This window comes from Homo sapiens, chromosome 3 (genome assembly GCF_000001405.40).
Source record: "Homo sapiens chromosome 3, GRCh38.p14 Primary Assembly".
NCBI classification, from domain to species: Eukaryota; Metazoa; Chordata; class Mammalia; order Primates; family Hominidae; genus Homo; species Homo sapiens.
The window spans coordinates 146,332,716-146,350,679 of record NC_000003.12 but is presented as its reverse complement, the minus strand read 5'-3'; the positions used below and the strand labels follow the sequence as shown (position 1 = coordinate 146,350,679).

At 40.9% G+C, this 17,964-nt stretch overlaps 1 pseudogene, besides 1 other annotated feature; it reads left to right on the top strand.

Annotated features, from left to right (window-relative positions):
- On the top strand, window positions 2,203-7,697 carry PLSCR4P1 (PLSCR4 pseudogene 1; annotated as a pseudogene).
- Window positions 3,183-3,937: an enhancer, noted in NCBI's record as "OCT4-NANOG hESC enhancer chr3:146064530-146065284 (GRCh37/hg19 assembly coordinates)". NCBI's record gives its function as "activates a minimal SCP1, AML or CMV promoter by ChIP-STARR-seq in naive H9 embryonic stem cells {active_cell/tissue: H9 hESC(naive)}" and the evidence as "EXISTENCE:reporter gene assay evidence [ECO:0000049][PMID:30033119]".

The following is a 17,964-nucleotide window of genomic DNA, read 5'->3' as shown; positions in this document are numbered from 1 at the left end:
AAATGTTTAACTTATCTTCTTTTGGCCTCTCATTAAACATAACATGCCCCAGTCTAAACTTTTCAATCCCCACCGTTTCCCCTACTATTTTCCTCTCTAGTTTTGTTAATAGCGTCACCATCAACTCAGTTACCTTGGGCTATGACTCAGAACCCTCTTTGACTCCTCTCTTTTCTTTAGTCCATCAGCAACTCCTCGAGGCCCTGCTTCCAAACAGTGTCATGCCTCTGACCACTCCTAACCCTCTGCAGTGTCACCTCCCCCATCTAAGCCTGCATCAGCTCTCACCTGGATTGCTGCTGCCATCCGTCACTGCTCCCTGCTTCTACTCTTGCTCTCATTGTATGGTGTCGGTCAGATCTGATCACTCCACTGACTGAATCCTCCACACTTCCCAGTTCCAAATACCAAAAATGCCAACCACCTTGACATGGCCTTCAGATGAGATCAGACCTCTCTGTCTCCATGTCTTACTTCAGTTCCTTTCTCTCACTGTGGCCCAGTCACTTCTAACTGCTTTTTCTTTCTCTCCCTTGAGTATCCCAAGCTCACTGCCACCTCTGATCCTTTGCACTAATCTCCTATCTTCCTGGAACTCTCTTCCCACAATTTTAGTGTGATGTTTCCTTTTCATAGTTCAAATAGCTCAAAGGGCACCTCCTAAGAGTGGCTTTTCCCGACTCTCTTAAAACTAACCATCCATGTTTCTCTTAAACCTGTGACTTTGTTTTCCTCATAACTACCATCTAAACATAAATATTTGTTGACTTTTTTTTTTTTTTTTTTTTGAGACAGAGTCTTGCTCTGTCACCCAGGCTGGAGTGCAGTGGCGCAATCTCGGCTCACTGCAAGCTCCATCTCCCAGGTTCACGCCATTCTTCTGGCTCAGCCTCCCGAGTAGCTGGGACTACAGGTGCCCACCACCACGCCTGTCTAATTTTTTGTATTTTTAGTAGAGACGGGGTTTCACCATGTTCGCCAGGATGGTCTCAATCTCCTGCCCTCGTGATCCACCCACCTCGGCCTCCCAAAGTGCTGGGATTACAGGCGTGAGCCACTGCACCCGGCCTTGTTGACATTTTTAAAATCTCACCCCATGTAATCTCCAGCAGAGTGGCACTTTATCTGTCTGGCTTATTGGTATATTCTCATCATCTATAATAGTGCCTAGTATATAATAAGATACTCAGTAAATATTTATTGAATTAATGAAAGAATGAATGAAAAGTAACTGGAAATGAGATAATGTACACTATTTCTCTAAAATTTTAGCAATTATTGTGAAATAAAGTTATCCTTGCTTTTCCAGTGGCTAGAAAGAGACCCTGCCACCTTACTAGGAAGCCTATTTTCACAGGAATGGGGATGAGGAAGTGCTCATTGTTACTGCTTGGCTGGAGTTCAGGCTCCCTACTGGTCCTCTACTGCCACCATCTTGGCTGGGGGAGGGAAAGGGATGAGAGAAAAATGATATCACTGCTCTTTTTAAGAGACATTTGATAAAAGAATAACAACTAAAGTCATACATTAGTGGTATATTCATATGAATTTATGATTATGAGTGCTTATCTTAAAATGTTATGTTTTCTTAACAAAATCTGATTTCCTTGACTGTGATCTTATTTATATTGACAAAGTTAATAGTTAACTGATGCCATGTTGGAGGTGAGCTGTCTGAGAACCAGATGATGTTCATATAAACAAGTGACTGAATCAGAGGCAATATAACAGGCTTAAAATCACCACTTTGAGATTAAGACCTAATTTCAAATCCCAGCGTTATCACCTTCTATCTATGTGAACTTGAATAATAATAATAATGAACATAATAGAAATTTGCATAGTGCTGATTTTATGCCATGCCCTGTGCTGACTCTGCAACAGCCTGATGAGATAGTTGTGAAGAGATATTGACAATCTCCTCAATCTTAGTGTTTGTACTTGTGAAATTGGTATACCTAATTTCATATGGTTTAAGAGGATTATATTTCTCCATGATCTGGAAATCTCCCTAGTAGGCTTTTGATATATGAAATGCCATGTCCTCAGAAAGTGGAGACTTTTGTTATATCTAAAAAGCTGTCATGTGACCCATGTCATCTACAAATAAAAATTCATCCCATGTCCTAAAATATTATAACTTTAAATATACATAATTATGTCATTGTTTCAATTATTTCATTTGTCAGCCATCCCTCCATCTGGAGGCTTCCACAGCAGCCCAGTACCTTCCCCTTGTATCAGCCAACTATCCCATCCTATCCAGTATCAGCCTGGTAAATATCCTATGCCAAATCAGCCTGTTCCAATAACATGGAAGCCAAAGCCAACTCCTTTGGCAAACTGCTCTCCTGGTCTAGAATATTTAGCTCAGGTTCTCCATGCTTTGGCAAACTGTCCTCCTGGTCTGGAATACTTAGGCCATACAAATCCAAGTTATTTTTCTATGAAATATGACCATAGTGATCCAATAAGGAGCGAGAAAATATAGGACAGAGTGAATAAAGGAGATGGGACAATGTTAACATGTCTAGTTTCTAAGACTGTAAGAATGGTGGTACTAACTTCAGAAATGTAAAGGGGAAGCAAAAAGTATAGAGATGTTTTTAGTGGGATGAGTATGGAGTTTATATGATTCAGGTTTACCATTAAGATATTCAGGATGTCCTCTTAAAAAAAGGTAGAAAAATAGAAACAGGAATAGAAAAAAAAATGTCTTAGACGCTAGCTTGTGTTTCATTTACTTGGAATAAAAGCGACCATCCAAAAAAGACATATGAAAGGAACAGAAAAATTAGTGGCTAAATCACTTAAGTGCCTTGGCCCTTTGATTTCCTTCACCACCTATAATTTTCATCAGCTATTCCAGACCTCCCCCCACCAATATCTATTTTCCATGTAAAAACAGGGTGCTAACCAAGTACATATAGCAGCAAGCCAAGTCCTTGAGGTCCCTTCTTAAGTGGTGATACCCTAATGCTCTTCTCTATAAACATTATGGAGCCACCCTGACACTCAGGTCAGAAACTTGAGGAATAGGAATATTTGGTAAACAAAATGGTATAAATAAATAAATTAAAGGTAGTATTAAAAACTATTCTGTAACCCTTGACCCTTTCGGCTTAAGAAAGAGGAGACATTTAAATTCTTTATATGTAAGTATCGGGGAACCTGCCCTGATAATCACGTAGGTTTTTTTCTATTTTTCCTAAGCATCGGCCAGCTTGAGAAATAAAGGGACAGAGTATAAAAGAGAGAAATTTTAAAGCTGGGCATCCAGGGGAGACATCACACGTTGGTAGGATCCGTGATGCCCCACAAGCCACAAAAACCAGCAAGTTTTTATTAGAGATTTTCAAAAAGGGGAGGGAGTGTGCGAATAGGTGTGGGTGACAGACATCAAGTACTTAACAGGGTAATAGAATATCACAAGGCAAGTGGAGGCAGGGCGAGATCACAAGACCACAGGACCAAGGTGAAATTAAAATTGCTAATGAACTTTCGGGCACCATTGTCATTGATAACATCTTATCAGGAGACAGGGTTTTGAGATCAACTGGTCTGACCAAAATTTATTAGGTGGGAATTTCCTCTTCCTAATAAGCCTGGGAGCGCTATGGGAGACTGGAGTCTATTTCATCTCTGCAGCCTCGACCATAAGAGACAGGCGCACCTAGGGGGGCTGTTTATAAGCCTATACCTCCAGGCACGTATTCTCTTCCTCAAGGATGTTCCATGCTGAGAAAAAGAATTCAGCGATATTTCTCCCATTTGCTTTTGAAAGAAGAGAAATATGGCTCTGTTCTGCCCGGCTCACTGGCAGTCAGAGTTTAAGGTTATCTCTCTTGTTTCCTAAACATTGCTGTTATCTTGTTCTTTTTTCAAGGTGCCCACATTTCATATTGCTCAAACACACATGCTGTACAATTTGTGCAGTTAATGCAATTATTACAGGGTCCTAAGGCGACATACATCATCCTCGGCTGACAGGATTAAGAGATTAAAGTAAAGACAGGCATAGGAAATCACAAGGGTATTGATTGGGGAAGTGATAAGTGTCCATGAAATCTTTACAATTTATGTTTAGGGATTGCAGTAAAGACAGGCATAAGAAATTATAAAAGTATTAATTTGGGGAACTAATAAATGTCCATAAAATCTTCACAATCCACGTTCTTCTGCCATGGCTTCAGCCAGTCCCTCTGTTTGGGGTCCCTGACTTCCCGCAACATGTAAGGAACTCTTTAATTCAATATTTGCCTCCCCACATAATCAAGTATTTCTTGGAGTTCACAAGGTCCTCTTTGCAATTCCACATGTTACTAATCCTGTGCATTGAAAACTATTGGTGCAATGCTATAGAGTTGATGTGTGAATTGGATTAGAAATTTGGAATTTTCTTGAGCCAAAAATTTTATTAAACTGATCTCTTTATAAAATAACAGAAAGGGGTGGGGCCAAGATGGCCAAATAGAAGCAGCTCCAGTGTGGCTCTCACAGACAGGAATGAAAGGGGCGAGTAAATACAACACCTTCAACTGAAATATCCAGGCATGCATTTGCATTGAGACTGATCAGGGAAACAGCTGGAGCCATGGAGAATGGAGAAAAGCAGGGAAGAGTGACAGCCTGCCCAGAAGCAACACGAAGCCAAGGGAACCTCTCTCCACCCCAGGGAGTGGATATGTGACCTTGGGAAACCATGCTTCTCCCATGGATCTTTGCAACCCTTGGGTCAGGAGGTCTCTTCCTGAACCCACTCCACCAGGGCCTTTGGTCTGACACACATGGCTGTGTGAAGTCTTAGCAGAGCAGCTGCTCAGGCACACGCAGAATTCCAGGAGCTCTACATATTCTGGCTCCAGGAAACCTGGCAAAGGTGACTGCAACTCAGTCAAGGAGGGAAGTTGGATGTTCCTACACACCCCTAGGGAAAAATAGCTGAATTCAGGAAGCCAAGCAGTGCAGGCCTATGGGCCCCACTTCCACAGTGCCTCGCAGGACAAATCCCACTGACTTGGAATTCCAGCCAGCCCCCAGAAACAGTGTTGCACCTACTTGGGATGAGACAGTGTTCCCAGAAAGAGGGGCAGGCTGCCATCTTTGCTGTTTGGACAACTCAGCCATTCCAGCCTGGGGGTTTAGGAGACTCCAAACCAAACCAACCAGGGATGGAAGGGACCTCTCCTAGCACAGCATAGCTGCTCTACCAAAATATAGCCAGACTGCTTCAAGTGGGACCCTGATCTATTCCTCATCTCAGGGCAATGCTTCCCAACAGGGGCCTCCAGCAAGCCCTACCCATATTCTCTGGCAGACAGAGTTTTAATTTCTCCCTTGGATGGAGTGCCCAAGGGGAGAAGCAGTTTGGACAACTCAGCTGTTCCAGGAAGTGGGCTTAGGAGAGTATAAACTGTCTGAGGCAGAAGGGAGCCCCCAGCAATGCACAGCTGCTCTACCAAAATGCTGTCAGACTTCTTCTTTAAGTGAGTTCATGATCTGCTCCTTATCTCTGGGTGGGACTTTCCAACTGGGGCCTCCAGCTACCCCCACCCACATTCTCCACCAGACAGTTTTGATTTCTGCCTTGGATGGAGCACCTGAAGGGAGGGATGGCCAACCATCTTTGCTGTTTAGACAACGCTGTTCCAGTCTGTAGGCTTACAAGAGTCCAAACCACCTGAGGATGGAAGCGGTACCCCCGCAGGGCACAGCTACTCCACAAAAGTGTGATCAGACTGCCCATCAGACTTTCATCTTGTGAGTGATTCCTAAGTAAAACCAAGATTAAAAGTTTACCTAATGTTTTTCCCAAACTCATTTTTCATGTAATCCTACCACAGAATGTGTTCTCTCCTTTGTGCCAGTTTCATTCACATGCTTCTGCCATCTTCGACCCTCTCCTTATTAATCCATGCACCTAGGGAAAACTGCCACTTTTAACTCAAGTGAATGGAAGTCAATACATTATTCTCTCAGAGGTACCCATGAAATAATTTAAAATTGGTCACACTTTGAGATTCACCTTGGCTAACTTACTCTCCCTAAGCCATTGAAAAAAATTGCATTCTGTATAGGTGGTCCATGTAAAACCATCCTGAACTTCCTGATCAAATCCAAATGGCAGGTGATATGTCAGAGAGACCAGTGAGTAGTAACTGAGCAAGAAACAATCTAGGTATACACAGCTACTTCTAGATGTTGTTGCTTTAGCAAGTTAATGTTTTTCAGATATTTTAGATAAAACAGTCTTATACAGTGGAACTGGAGAAAATTATTTTTCCTATTTGAACAGTCCTTTTAATGTCTATATGACCAGGTGAAAATAGGCTAATTTCAGGTGATAACACATATTTTTAAATTAATTTCATTCATACTCAAAAACTGTTTTGGAACTCAGTTGATTCATTGTGATATATCTATCATCAATTTCTTTCTTAATGCTAACTTAATTCTCTTATTTCTGTCTCTCTCAATAGTTGGACAACATGCATGTTTTTCAGCATTTGGAGCTCCTGGAAAGTATATATAATTTAGTAGTGTTCAGCAGTATTTGAATCAGGTGGAAATTGACATTATTAAACAGGCAGTTACTTTTTTTACAGCAATCATTTTTTCAGTGGTTCAAACAGAAAACACTGTTCTCCAGAAATTAAAAGAGAATTATTTTGTGTAATTTGATTTATTTACAAATTATATAATCATTAGCTCTTAGATTAAAAAGGATCTTATATATTATCTGGTCAATGCCCCCTTACACTTACACCTTCTATCCACCCATCATTTAACTTTCACAGATGCGGAAAAGAAAGAGCAGAGGAATGAAATGACTTAGTGAGGGTCAAGCAGAATTTAGATTTGCTAAAGTGTAGTGCGGTGCCTTTGTTTTAGAGGCAGGAAGAAATGAGCACAGTAAACATGAAGCCTAACATCTGTTCATCAATAGAGTGTGGCTGATTCTTAAAGCAGCAGCTTTACACATTCATTTAGCAACATAAGGTCTTCAACTCCTCTTGGTTACTTTTTCTATTTGCAATTAGTAGTGACCCTGATCATCTTACTGAGCTATTTGCAATTAGTAGTGACCCTGATCATCTTACTGAGCTGGATAATTTATGCTCTAATGTATAAAATAATTAAAATATTTTATAATTAAAGTCTCTGAATGCAGTTAATATATAAGACATAATCATCCTTATACAAGATGACTTTTATCTTTTACATGGAAAACTCTTAAATCATCTTGCACTGAATTTAAAATAGACACTTTAAATTCTAAAGCATATTAATACTTATAAGGTGATGAAATAGTTTGGTGTTCCCATCAGTTGTTTATGTTTCAAATGAAATTTTTAAAAGGCTATTTGGCCTTACACCCTGTGAAATGATTGATGATGACCTCTTGAGGGCAGACTTAACAGCTAATAATTTAAAGATGACTTTCTCATTTTATTTTCTAGTGATGACACATTTTGAAACTAATAATAGAAATGATGTTAAAAACAACTCAGACCAGATGGTTTTCATCATAACTGAAGACACACATATCTTTACCAGGAATGTGTATTGGACATTAAGGCCCTTCATCCTCCAGATCACTGAATGCATGGGCTGAAAAGTCATGACCATACAGAGACCTTTCAGATGTACCTGCTGTTGCCCCTCTGCCAGGCAAGAGGTCAAACAATGAATGTCCAATCCACAGTTTCCTTCTGATTCAACTTTTCACAGCAGTTTGCTCCTTCCATACAAAAGGGATTTTCCCTGGCTCATCCAGTCAGAATGGGAGAAGGTAGTGGAGAGGCAGGAAACCAAATTATCTCACCTAAGGAAAATCACAGAGACCTTTTTCATGTGGGTTATTGCTCTTTAGTGCTAATCGGTGGGTCAAGCACAATTAAGCTTGTTTAGTCAATAATCATGATTCCGTCAGTTGCATCTATGCAATTAGAAATTTACCTTTCACATAGAATAGTCACATACATTTATCTAAATATACCTACATATTACCAGGTAAGGTAATGCTAAACATAAACATATGCTTTTAGAATTGGAAGGGACTTCAGATACCTTTATACTACTCATCACAACCCACACCTTTCTGTTTTTTGTTTTTTGTTTCTTTTGAGACAGAGTCTTACTCTGTCACCCAGGCTGGAGTGCAGTGGCACGATCTCAGCTCACTGCAACCTCCGCCTCCCGGGTTCAAGCGATTCTCCTGCCTCAGTCTCCCGAGTAGCTGGGACTACAGGCACACGTCACCACACCTGGCTTATTTTTGTATTTTTAGTAGAGACAGGGTTTCATCATATTGGTCAGGCTGGTCTCGAACTCCTGACTTTGTGATCCACCCGCCTTGGCCTCCCAAAGTGCTGGGATTACAGGTGTGAGCCACCGTGCCTGGCCCCACAACCCACACCTTTCTACAGAGAAAGAAAGAGTGGCTGAAAACGATTAAGTGCCTGAGAAGGTATTACACTTGACTGTGCCAGAATTTCAATGGAGATGTGCTGCATTACAAGCTGGTTACTCTTATATAACCTGCATCATTCTAGGAACATCTTTTACCATAGTAAAAAGAAAAGCGGTTTTGGAGCAGCCAACCAGAGTTTAAATTCTAGATATGACACCTACTTAAATTTGTACAATTTACTTAACCGATTTGGGCTTCAATCTTCTGGTACATAAAATATGCATAACAATACCCCATAGGTTTACTGGGATATTAAAAGACATATTAAGTACCAGTATTTACTAATCTCAATGTATTACAATATCCTCTTTTCTTTGATTTCCTCCATTGTAAAATAGAGATGATATAGTACATATCACATAGGAGTTTTTGAGATTTAAGTAGTAAATTAATGTTACATGCTTAGGACAGCACCTGGCAGATAGTCTAGTACTCAAAGAACGTTAGTTGTTGTTCTTAGATATCTTACTCCCCTATCATTATGTTTTAATCATAACAGCCTTATATTTGAGATGAATCTTCACCTGTATCCTTCATTCTTTTAACTATACTAGGAATTTTTCTTCATATTCATGACTTGCATTGTCTTCTCAAATCCTTTTAGTGCAGCCTTCCAAATTAAAAAAGCTATGATGCAGAAAAGATAATCAAAATTACAAACTTACCCAATTTATAGAACATTTATCTCAAATATTATTCAGATTTTATTCTTATTTCTTCAGTTTTACTTGTATTCATGTTTGACTGTGTATATTTAGTTCTGTGTAATTTCAGCAGCCGTTCAGATTTCTGCATCCACCACCACAACACAGATAACCTGGTGAGGCAAGCTGATGTCCTAACCCTGTTTTCCTAGTTGCCATGAGTGGGCTGGTGGTCAGAGTCAACTGATGTCTAAGTGAGGGGTAGGAAATGTTCTAGGGCTGGGATAAGCATGATGCACCATTTCTGAGGTAAAAGCCGTATTCACTTCACTCAATCATGTATATATGTTAGAATATATATTCAAATGACATGTTCTGAATTCTGAGGAATCAAACTATGTGTACAGCAACATAAACATATTTATAAAGTAAATAATTTACTTTGAAAACCTACATATAAGAACAAAGAGTAAACAGTAAATTTCTCAAAACATATACTGTAATTAGTTAGCTTAATGTTTGCACATTAAATTTTACCATAGATCTTAGTTTTGCTGCTTCTTAGCAAAAAAGCCAGTAATGTGAAATCATGTAATTTTGAGATGTGTCTAGCTTGGTTTACCTGAAGATTTAATTCCTTGCCAGATGGATATGTATCTGGGCATGTATGAAGAAAAATCTACCTAATTATGAGATAGGTGAGATAATATGACCAGTTATATATAATAGTAATGATAATGGTGATGCTGATAATTATAAGAACAACTGTCCCTTTTTATTACTTCCTACATTGCCGGCGTGGTTCTGGTTCTGACTACTTTTTGTATATTAACTCATTTAATTCTCGTAGCAAGCCTATGAGATGTATTACTGTGATAATTCCCATTGTAGAGGTGAGAAGACTAGATGAGGTATTTTGCATGAGGACCACTCAGTTATCTATCTATTTATAAAGCTATCTATATTTCTGTTTGAAGCCAGCCCTAGATGCTACACCCTAAACCATTATGCCATGTTACTCTTTTATCTCTGTGTGATATTTGGTTTCTCTATGTATTAATATTAACACAGATGGCCGGACATGGTGGCTCATGCCTGTAATCCTAGCACTTTAGGAGGCCAAGGCGGGTGGATCACCTGAGGTCAGGAGTTTGAGACCAGCCTGACCAACATGATGAAACCCCATCTCTACTAAAAATACAAAAATTAGCTGGGCATGGTGGTGCATGCTTGTAATCCCAGCTACTTGGGAGACTGAGGCAGGAGAACTGCTTGAACCGGGGAGGCAGAAAGTGCAGTGAGCCAAGAATGTGCCATTGCACTCCAGCCTGGGCAACAAGAGTGAAATTCCATCTCAAAAAAATAAAAAAATTTAAAAATATATATTAACACAGACATACAGGGGAATGAAAATACAGAAAAATTGTACATAAGAAATTATAAACAGGAGATTTCTGTATACAAGATTTGTATACAATTATATACAGAAATTATATAGAGGAAATCATATTCAGGAAAATTCATGTGTTTTCAAGTTTGGGATTATTGCTGGAAGCTCATGAGGCTCCAAGCAGGTCTTGTCTGAGAGTGTGCTCTCTTCAGAGAGGTTTGCTTTTGCTTCTGCTGGTGCCCCAGCAGTGTTACCAACTGAAGATTATTTTTATTTATATTTTTAGGTTTTTGTTTTTCAAGTCTGTATGTATTTCAAATATGAACCCCTAAATGATGAGGACAAGACTTGATTATTGTGAGAAACACGCTCACCCATCCAAACCCGAAGAATGGACTCAGAAGCACAAAGAATAGCAAAAGTAAGAGTTTTAATAACGGTCTTGCAAGATCGAGTGGTAGGCAGGCACATCCGGGGCAACTACAGCAACTAATTTATCTCCTAGCATGCAAGTCCCTCCCCCAGTTCCTCACTGGTCAATTACTATGGGGTTATAATCTTCCCAGATGTCACCAAAGTTTTATTATCCCCCTTATAAGGTTATACCCCAGTCCCCTTCCCTGCTTAAGTTGTGATTTCCCAATAACGAAACTTTCTTCCCTTTTATGGGCTGACCCCGCCTCAACATTCTGTTCATTTATCATGACTTTCTAATAGCAGAAGCCATGCACTTTTTTACGTCCGCAGGCTGGCTGCCAGTGCTAGATTTATCATGCCTTGAAAATGGACCATTTAAAATATTTTCTCTCAAATTCTCTCTGCTTTTCTATTTACTTCCTCTGGTCTCATTTTCATCTAAATCCTCCTGGTCCTAGAATCACTCTAGAAGCCATTTACTTTCTTCTTCATAGGAGAGTGAGTTTAATTTAGTTTCTAATAGTAGAAAGTTATTTTGCTGGTAAGTCATGGGCATTTGCTTATTAATAGGTGTTTCAAGTAATCTCTGTGCTAGTCCCCTTACACAGGGATAATACATCATCCCACTTCTGTTAAGATTCCTGCCACAATTATGAGAGATGTAAGGATTGAAGCACCATGCTTTCCATTTTCCAAATCGACTTTCTGGCCAACCCATAAATGGGTCACCAATTCCAGCATTTTCTGCGAGTTTGTTGGCTAGAGTTGTCATTCCTTGTAAAGCTTTTGTGATGGTCCCATCTAGGGACAATTGGTCCCTAGTATTGTTGGGAATGAAAGTACATTTCCCACCCAGCATAACACATATGTCTCCTTTATCTGCTAGTATTATGTTTAGTGCAAGCCTATTTTCCCAGGCCATTTGGCTGGTGGCATCTAACTGGCTAGCTACCCCTTTTGAGAGTGTCCCAAGTATAATTGATGATTCTGTTGATTATAATACATGTAGTTAATCCAATCCACATTCTTATTAATAGCTGACCACCAGAACAGTGGTGACTCAAACCCAGCAACTATTTGGTTTTGGGACTTAAATTCATTAGGCACCGCCCTAGGGACTCCTATCGAGTCAACATGTGTATTGAGATCAAAAGAATTTGTTAAATCTCTCCAGTTTGGGTGGCCATGTGTATTTTCAAGTATCTTATGGAATGCCAGGGTGAAGTGAATATCCAACTGGACTAACGCACAAGTCCCAGTCCAATTGGATGGTTATGGAGGTTCCTTTTCCCACAGTACCACCAGACATCAGCCCGAGGTATATGGACAGCTGAGTAATTGCCATTGCTTGACTCAACAGTGATGTTTAGGATGTGGGTACAAGACGAGAGTTCTCCCATGGGCTTATTGAATTCTTCCCCCTGCCTAGAGAGGTAAAAGGAGTGGTTTATATTCCCTGTAGAGAATGAGGGGATTGCTCTGGGATCCGGCCTCCACAATGTGGAAAAGAACAATGACAGACTCTTACAAGTCTTATTTCCCAATGCATCCTTGTCGTGGTATGGAGCCAACATGCAACACATTCCTTTAAAGTTAACTCTAAGAAAAATCTAAAAAGAAAACATGTGCTGGCCCCATTTCTGGAAGTTAATATGGCTAGGATGGACTACTATACAAAGAGCAGACCGTCAAAACTTGGTATTCCATCCTAAGGGAAACAGAACCACCTGTGCCCGAGGTCGTCTGCAGCCCCCGCATAGCAGTTACTCTTGTCAAGGGCTTGCACCGAAAATGTGACCAGTTTGACCCAGGCATTCACACAGCCGTATCTGTCTCAATTTCTTCTTTCTTTCTTTCTTTCTTTCTTTCTTTCTTTCTTTCTTTCTTTCTTTCTTTCTTTCTTTCTTTCTTTCGTTTTTTTAAGATGGAGTCTTTCTTTGTCGCCAGGCTGGAGTGCAGTGGCTAGATCTCGGCTCACTGCAAGCTCCACTTCCCAGGTTCGAGCGATTCTCCTGCCTCAGCCTCCCGAGTAGCTGGGACTACAGGCGTGTGCCACCACACTCAGCTAATTTTTGTATTTTTAGTAGAGACAGGATTTCACCATGTAGGCCAGGATAGTGTCGATCTCTTGACCTTGTGATCTGCCCACTTCGGCCTCCCAAAGTGCTGGGACTACAGGAGTGAGCCACTGCATCCAGCCCTGTCTCAATTTCTAAGGTTTGCATTAAATCCTTTACCTCAATTATTTTTACCCTTTTAGGGTCATTATTTGCTGGACTAAACTGTTTATTAGGGCCTGCGGTTAGAGTAGTCCCAAGCAAATGGGAGGTTGAGTTTTTGATTAGTTTGAGAACAAATCACCCTGAAGGGGTTTTTCCCTGTGATGTCTGCCCCTAACCCATATACCTGAGATGCTACTTTTGGTTCTTGGTCTAGAAAAGCTGGATTGTTAATGGTTATGGGTATAGGATTGCATTCTAAATTCTGGTAGTTATTTGGCTGGGAGCCCTTGGACATATGTAGTTTATTTTTTAAGGGTCTCCAGCTCAGTTACCTACCCCATGTTTACTGTCCAACCCTGAAATTGGGTAGTCCACCATACATCGTCTCTGCTGGGGCAAGGTGATGCATTACTGTAACCTGTATCTGGTTCAGGGCACAGATATTTATTTGCCTGCAAGAGCTGTCTCAGATTTTCTAAATTCCCACAAGGTAAAACTTGGCAGGCATTAAATTTTATACTCTGGGGTTCTACTGTTTTGGTCACATTAATTATCAACCTGATTGAGTAGGGAGGAGTCCCCTGCCAGTTTCCATTTTGATGTTTTGCTCTTTGTATAGTACTCCATCTTGGCCATATTAACTTCTAGAAATGGGGCTAGTCCATGTTTTCTTTCTAGATTTTTCTTAGAGTTAACTTTAAGGATTTCTTAGGTGACCAATGCACTTTCCAGTGATCTTTTTCCCTCCCTTCAAGGGTCTCTTTTACCAGTCCCTTGACTCAAGTATAGTGAGTCCACCCCCATTCAGCTGTTCGCATGGCAGTCTCAGTGGTCAGGAGCCCTTGATAGGGATCTTCCCACCTTTGGTGGAGCTTGTCCTCTTTCCAGCTCTTAATCAGCACCAAGTTGTCAGGCTGGGCGTGGTGAACCATGTGGTGAACTTAACTGCTGTAGCTGCCCCAGGTGTGCCTGCCTACCAGACACTTGACATTGAGTTTGAGTCAGAAGTCCTTTTAACCTAAGGGATGACAGGGTGGAGGATATAGCCAGTATATAATTTCTTAAAAATTAGTCCTTGGTAGCTTGGGTGACAGAGCGAGACTCTGTCTCAAAAAAAAAAAAAAAAAAAAAAAAAAAAATTAGTCCTTGGTTTCCATAGTAGGAAGATCTGTAGCCCTGCACAAATATGGGAGTCCATATAGTAAGTCATAGGGGGACAATCCCAAGTATTCTCTTGGGCCTAATCCTCAGGAGTGCTATTTGGAGATATTTGGTCCAAGGCATTTTAGTTTCTAAGATTAGTTTGGTGATACGCTTTTTGAGAGTTTGTTTCATTCTTTCTACCTTTCCAGAGAAGGAGGATGCCAAGGGGCATAATAATCCCATTTAATTTGTAAACCTTCCATAATTTCCCTTAACACCCTTAAGGTAAAGTGGCTCCCATTGTCTGAATCAATATTTTCCACCAGGCCAAATCTAGGTACAATCTGTTCTAATATTATTTTGACCACATTTCTGGCAGTGGCTGTTGGAAGGGGAAAGTCTTCCACCCAGCCAGAAAGGAGATCTACGATCACCAGTAAATACTTTAGTCTTCCAACTTTGGGCATTTCTGTGAAATCTACTTGAATGCTTTGAAATCGTCTTAGTCCAGGAGGTCTTCCTCCCATGGCCTGTTTTCTAATCACCTTTTTCTTCATCTTTTGACAAGTTACACAAGTTCCATATGCTTATTTAGTGAGGGTATAAATTCCTATACACACATAATTTCTAAGTATTGCATTACACAGAGGCTGGGGTCCCCAGTGACTCCCTTTGTATAATATAGACATTAGTTCTTTCATCAGGGGTTTACTGACACCAGCTGTCTCACACTGTCCACCTTTATCTCGGCCGTCTGCTCCAGTTCTGTGACTCCTGCTGCCCCTATTCCTGCAGCTGCACTCCCTGGTCTGCAAGGCCACATCTTAGTAACAAAGTTAGCCTTCAAAAGGCCTTGCCCTACTGGATCCTCCAGATCTAATCCAGAGTATTTTCTATCTGATCTCTGAGCCTCTGCAGGAATGCAGAGGGAGTTTCCTCTTTTTCTTGTTGAATTTCGAATGCCTTTGAGACATTTTGTGTTCAAGAGTGGACTCTTTGATCCCTTTAATTATTAGTTCCCTGAGGTTCTGCATTTGGGCCTGGTCCCTGGGATCATTATTATCCCATTTGGGTTCTACATTTGGAAATTTTTATTTGGCTGGCAACACTCCTTGCCCAGGAGGGTGTTGCCTCTCCCAGATAGTCATGACCACTCTCCTAATCATTTTCCTTTCTTCTCCTGTGAACAGGATATTCATGATGGACATCAATTCAGCCCAGGTGTAAAAGCCGGTCTTCTAAATAAAAGGGATCTTCTAGGAGTGGTTTCATTTCCTCTTGAAATTCCTAACTTCAGTACTTGTAAGAGGAGCATTTACAAAGACAATCCCTCCCCATCCCATGGGAACTTCCCTAAGAGGGAACATGCTAGATATCTGCTGTGTGGAAGGGATAGGGAAGTTCTCAATATCCCTCTTACACTATTCTAATTCTTTTCTTAAATTTGGATAAGGATTTAAGGGAGCAGTTGGTTCATCTCCCCCATGGTCTCCAGGTCACCTTCCTCTAACCCACCTGTTGCTCCTTGATATTCTTATGCCCAATTTTGTGAGACATAGGCAGGGGGCGAGCATGATAGGGGGTCCCAAGGCTTTTCAGTGGATGAGGGCTCTTTACTAGACTTTTCTTCTGCTTCTTCTTCTTTGAGGGGGAACATGGCAGCTAATTCCTTGATCCAGCAGAAAGCGTAACCTATCTCTTCTTGTGAGGATGCGGTTTTATCATTCATACAGAGAGTTAAAGTTTGGCACACCCAGTCTTCATCTGAGCCAAACTTAGGCCAAAAGACTGTAGGCTTATGAATGGGGTCTTTGGGCCAGATAAAACAGCAATACTTTATCATCTTTTGCTATTTCTTGTCCCTGGTTCGAGGGTTGTCCCTCAAACCTGCAACATGCTCCCCAAAGGACTATCCGGGGGAATGTCAGAGGGAGTCTCTTTGGCTCCCTCCTTCCTTTGTCTCTTAGGCCTAGAATTCCTGTTTCCCATTTTCAGTCTCTGTGTCTGAGCTTTTCCCTGTGTACTCAGCCCCCCCCACTGGAGGTTTCTTGCACACCCCAAGAATTGCTTTGTCCATGTCCAGCCGTGTTTCCCTTGCAGGAGAACAGAACTGCAGATTGGGACTCCGCACTCGCTTTGTATGCTGGATACATCTCAGTTACACACACTTAACCTCCAAAAATGCCCAACCACCATGGCACTACTTACAGTCCAATTTTCCTACTTCGGCTCATGCACGAAGTTGCCTGGTTGCTGTGGGGCTTGCTTTTCTCCCTGTGTCACTTCCGATGCCTCCTGAATAACAGTCTCAGTTTTGTCTGTGGCCTCTGTCGGGAGCCAGGTGCCCAGAAAGACCAGGTCACCTACATTGGGTGGGATATGTCTCCTTTCTCAGCTAGAGTCCCACTCCATGCAGGCACAGAGATCCCAGACGAGCCCTCAGATTTGTAGAAAACATGCTCACCCATCCAAACCCAAAGAATGGATTCAGAGGCACAAAGAACAGAGAAAGTGAGACTTTTAATAGCAGTCTTGCAAGATCAAGTGTCTGGTAGGCAGGCACACCTGGGGTAGCTACAGCAGGTAATTTATCTCCTAGCATGCAATTTATCTCCTAGCATGCAAGTCCCTCCCCTAGTTCCTAATGGGTCGAGTACTATGGTGTTACAATCTTCCCAGATGTCGCCTGAGTTTTATTATCCCCCTTATAAGGTTATACCTAAGTCCCCCTTCCCCGTTAAGTTTTGATTTCCCAATAATGAAACTTTCTTCTCTTTTATGGGCTGATCCCTCCTCTTCATTCTGTTCACTTATTATGACTTTCTAACAGAATGAGCCATGCGGTTTGTTACATCCGCAGGCTGGCTGCCAGTGCTAGATTTATCATGCCTTGAAAATGGACCATCTAAAATATTTTCTCACAATTATGAATTCTCAGAGGACAAACCTTTAGCACAGGCCCAGAGAGGCTTTCATTTACTTCTCATTTGCCAGTGGAAGAATGTTATCTATTCCACCCTTTATATTGGAATGTGTCCCTTTAAGGGTTCCCATTTTATTGGGGGTCTCTATTACAGTACCCTTCTTGCTCAAGCCCAAGCCCTCACAACTGCCTAGCCATGACTGGTAAATCAGATCCCCGTTCTAAGGAAGGTGGGCAACTCTTTCTCTTGCAGAAGCCAAAGACAGTGTTAGTCTTTTGTGTAACACTCAGATTTTTCAGATTGTTTCTTACTTTTTGGCCCCATGGATTTCTCTAAATTTCCTTGGAGCTCAACTTTGCATGCATATAGGTTTTAATTATGCTTAGCTCAGACTTTCAGGTTTTTACATGATATACTTTGCAACACTGTCAAATATGGATGTGACATAATTGTTAAAAACACATACAGATTTTAATGTAAGGAACACAGGAGAGAGAATGTTCTAACATCAACATAAAAATTAAAATAATGTTCTGGTTTTGAATTATGATTTTTGGCAATAATTTAAAAGGTACTCCTTCACTTTCTATTTGAAAAGACATGTATGATATTTATGTTATCATACTATAGAATTTCAAAACCTTTGAAAATGTTTATTTCCAGTACTGTTTCATTATCCCAGCCTACATCTTTCTCCCATGCTGGATGCTTCCTGCCCTTGAACGTCAGACTCCAAGTTCTCCAGTTTTGA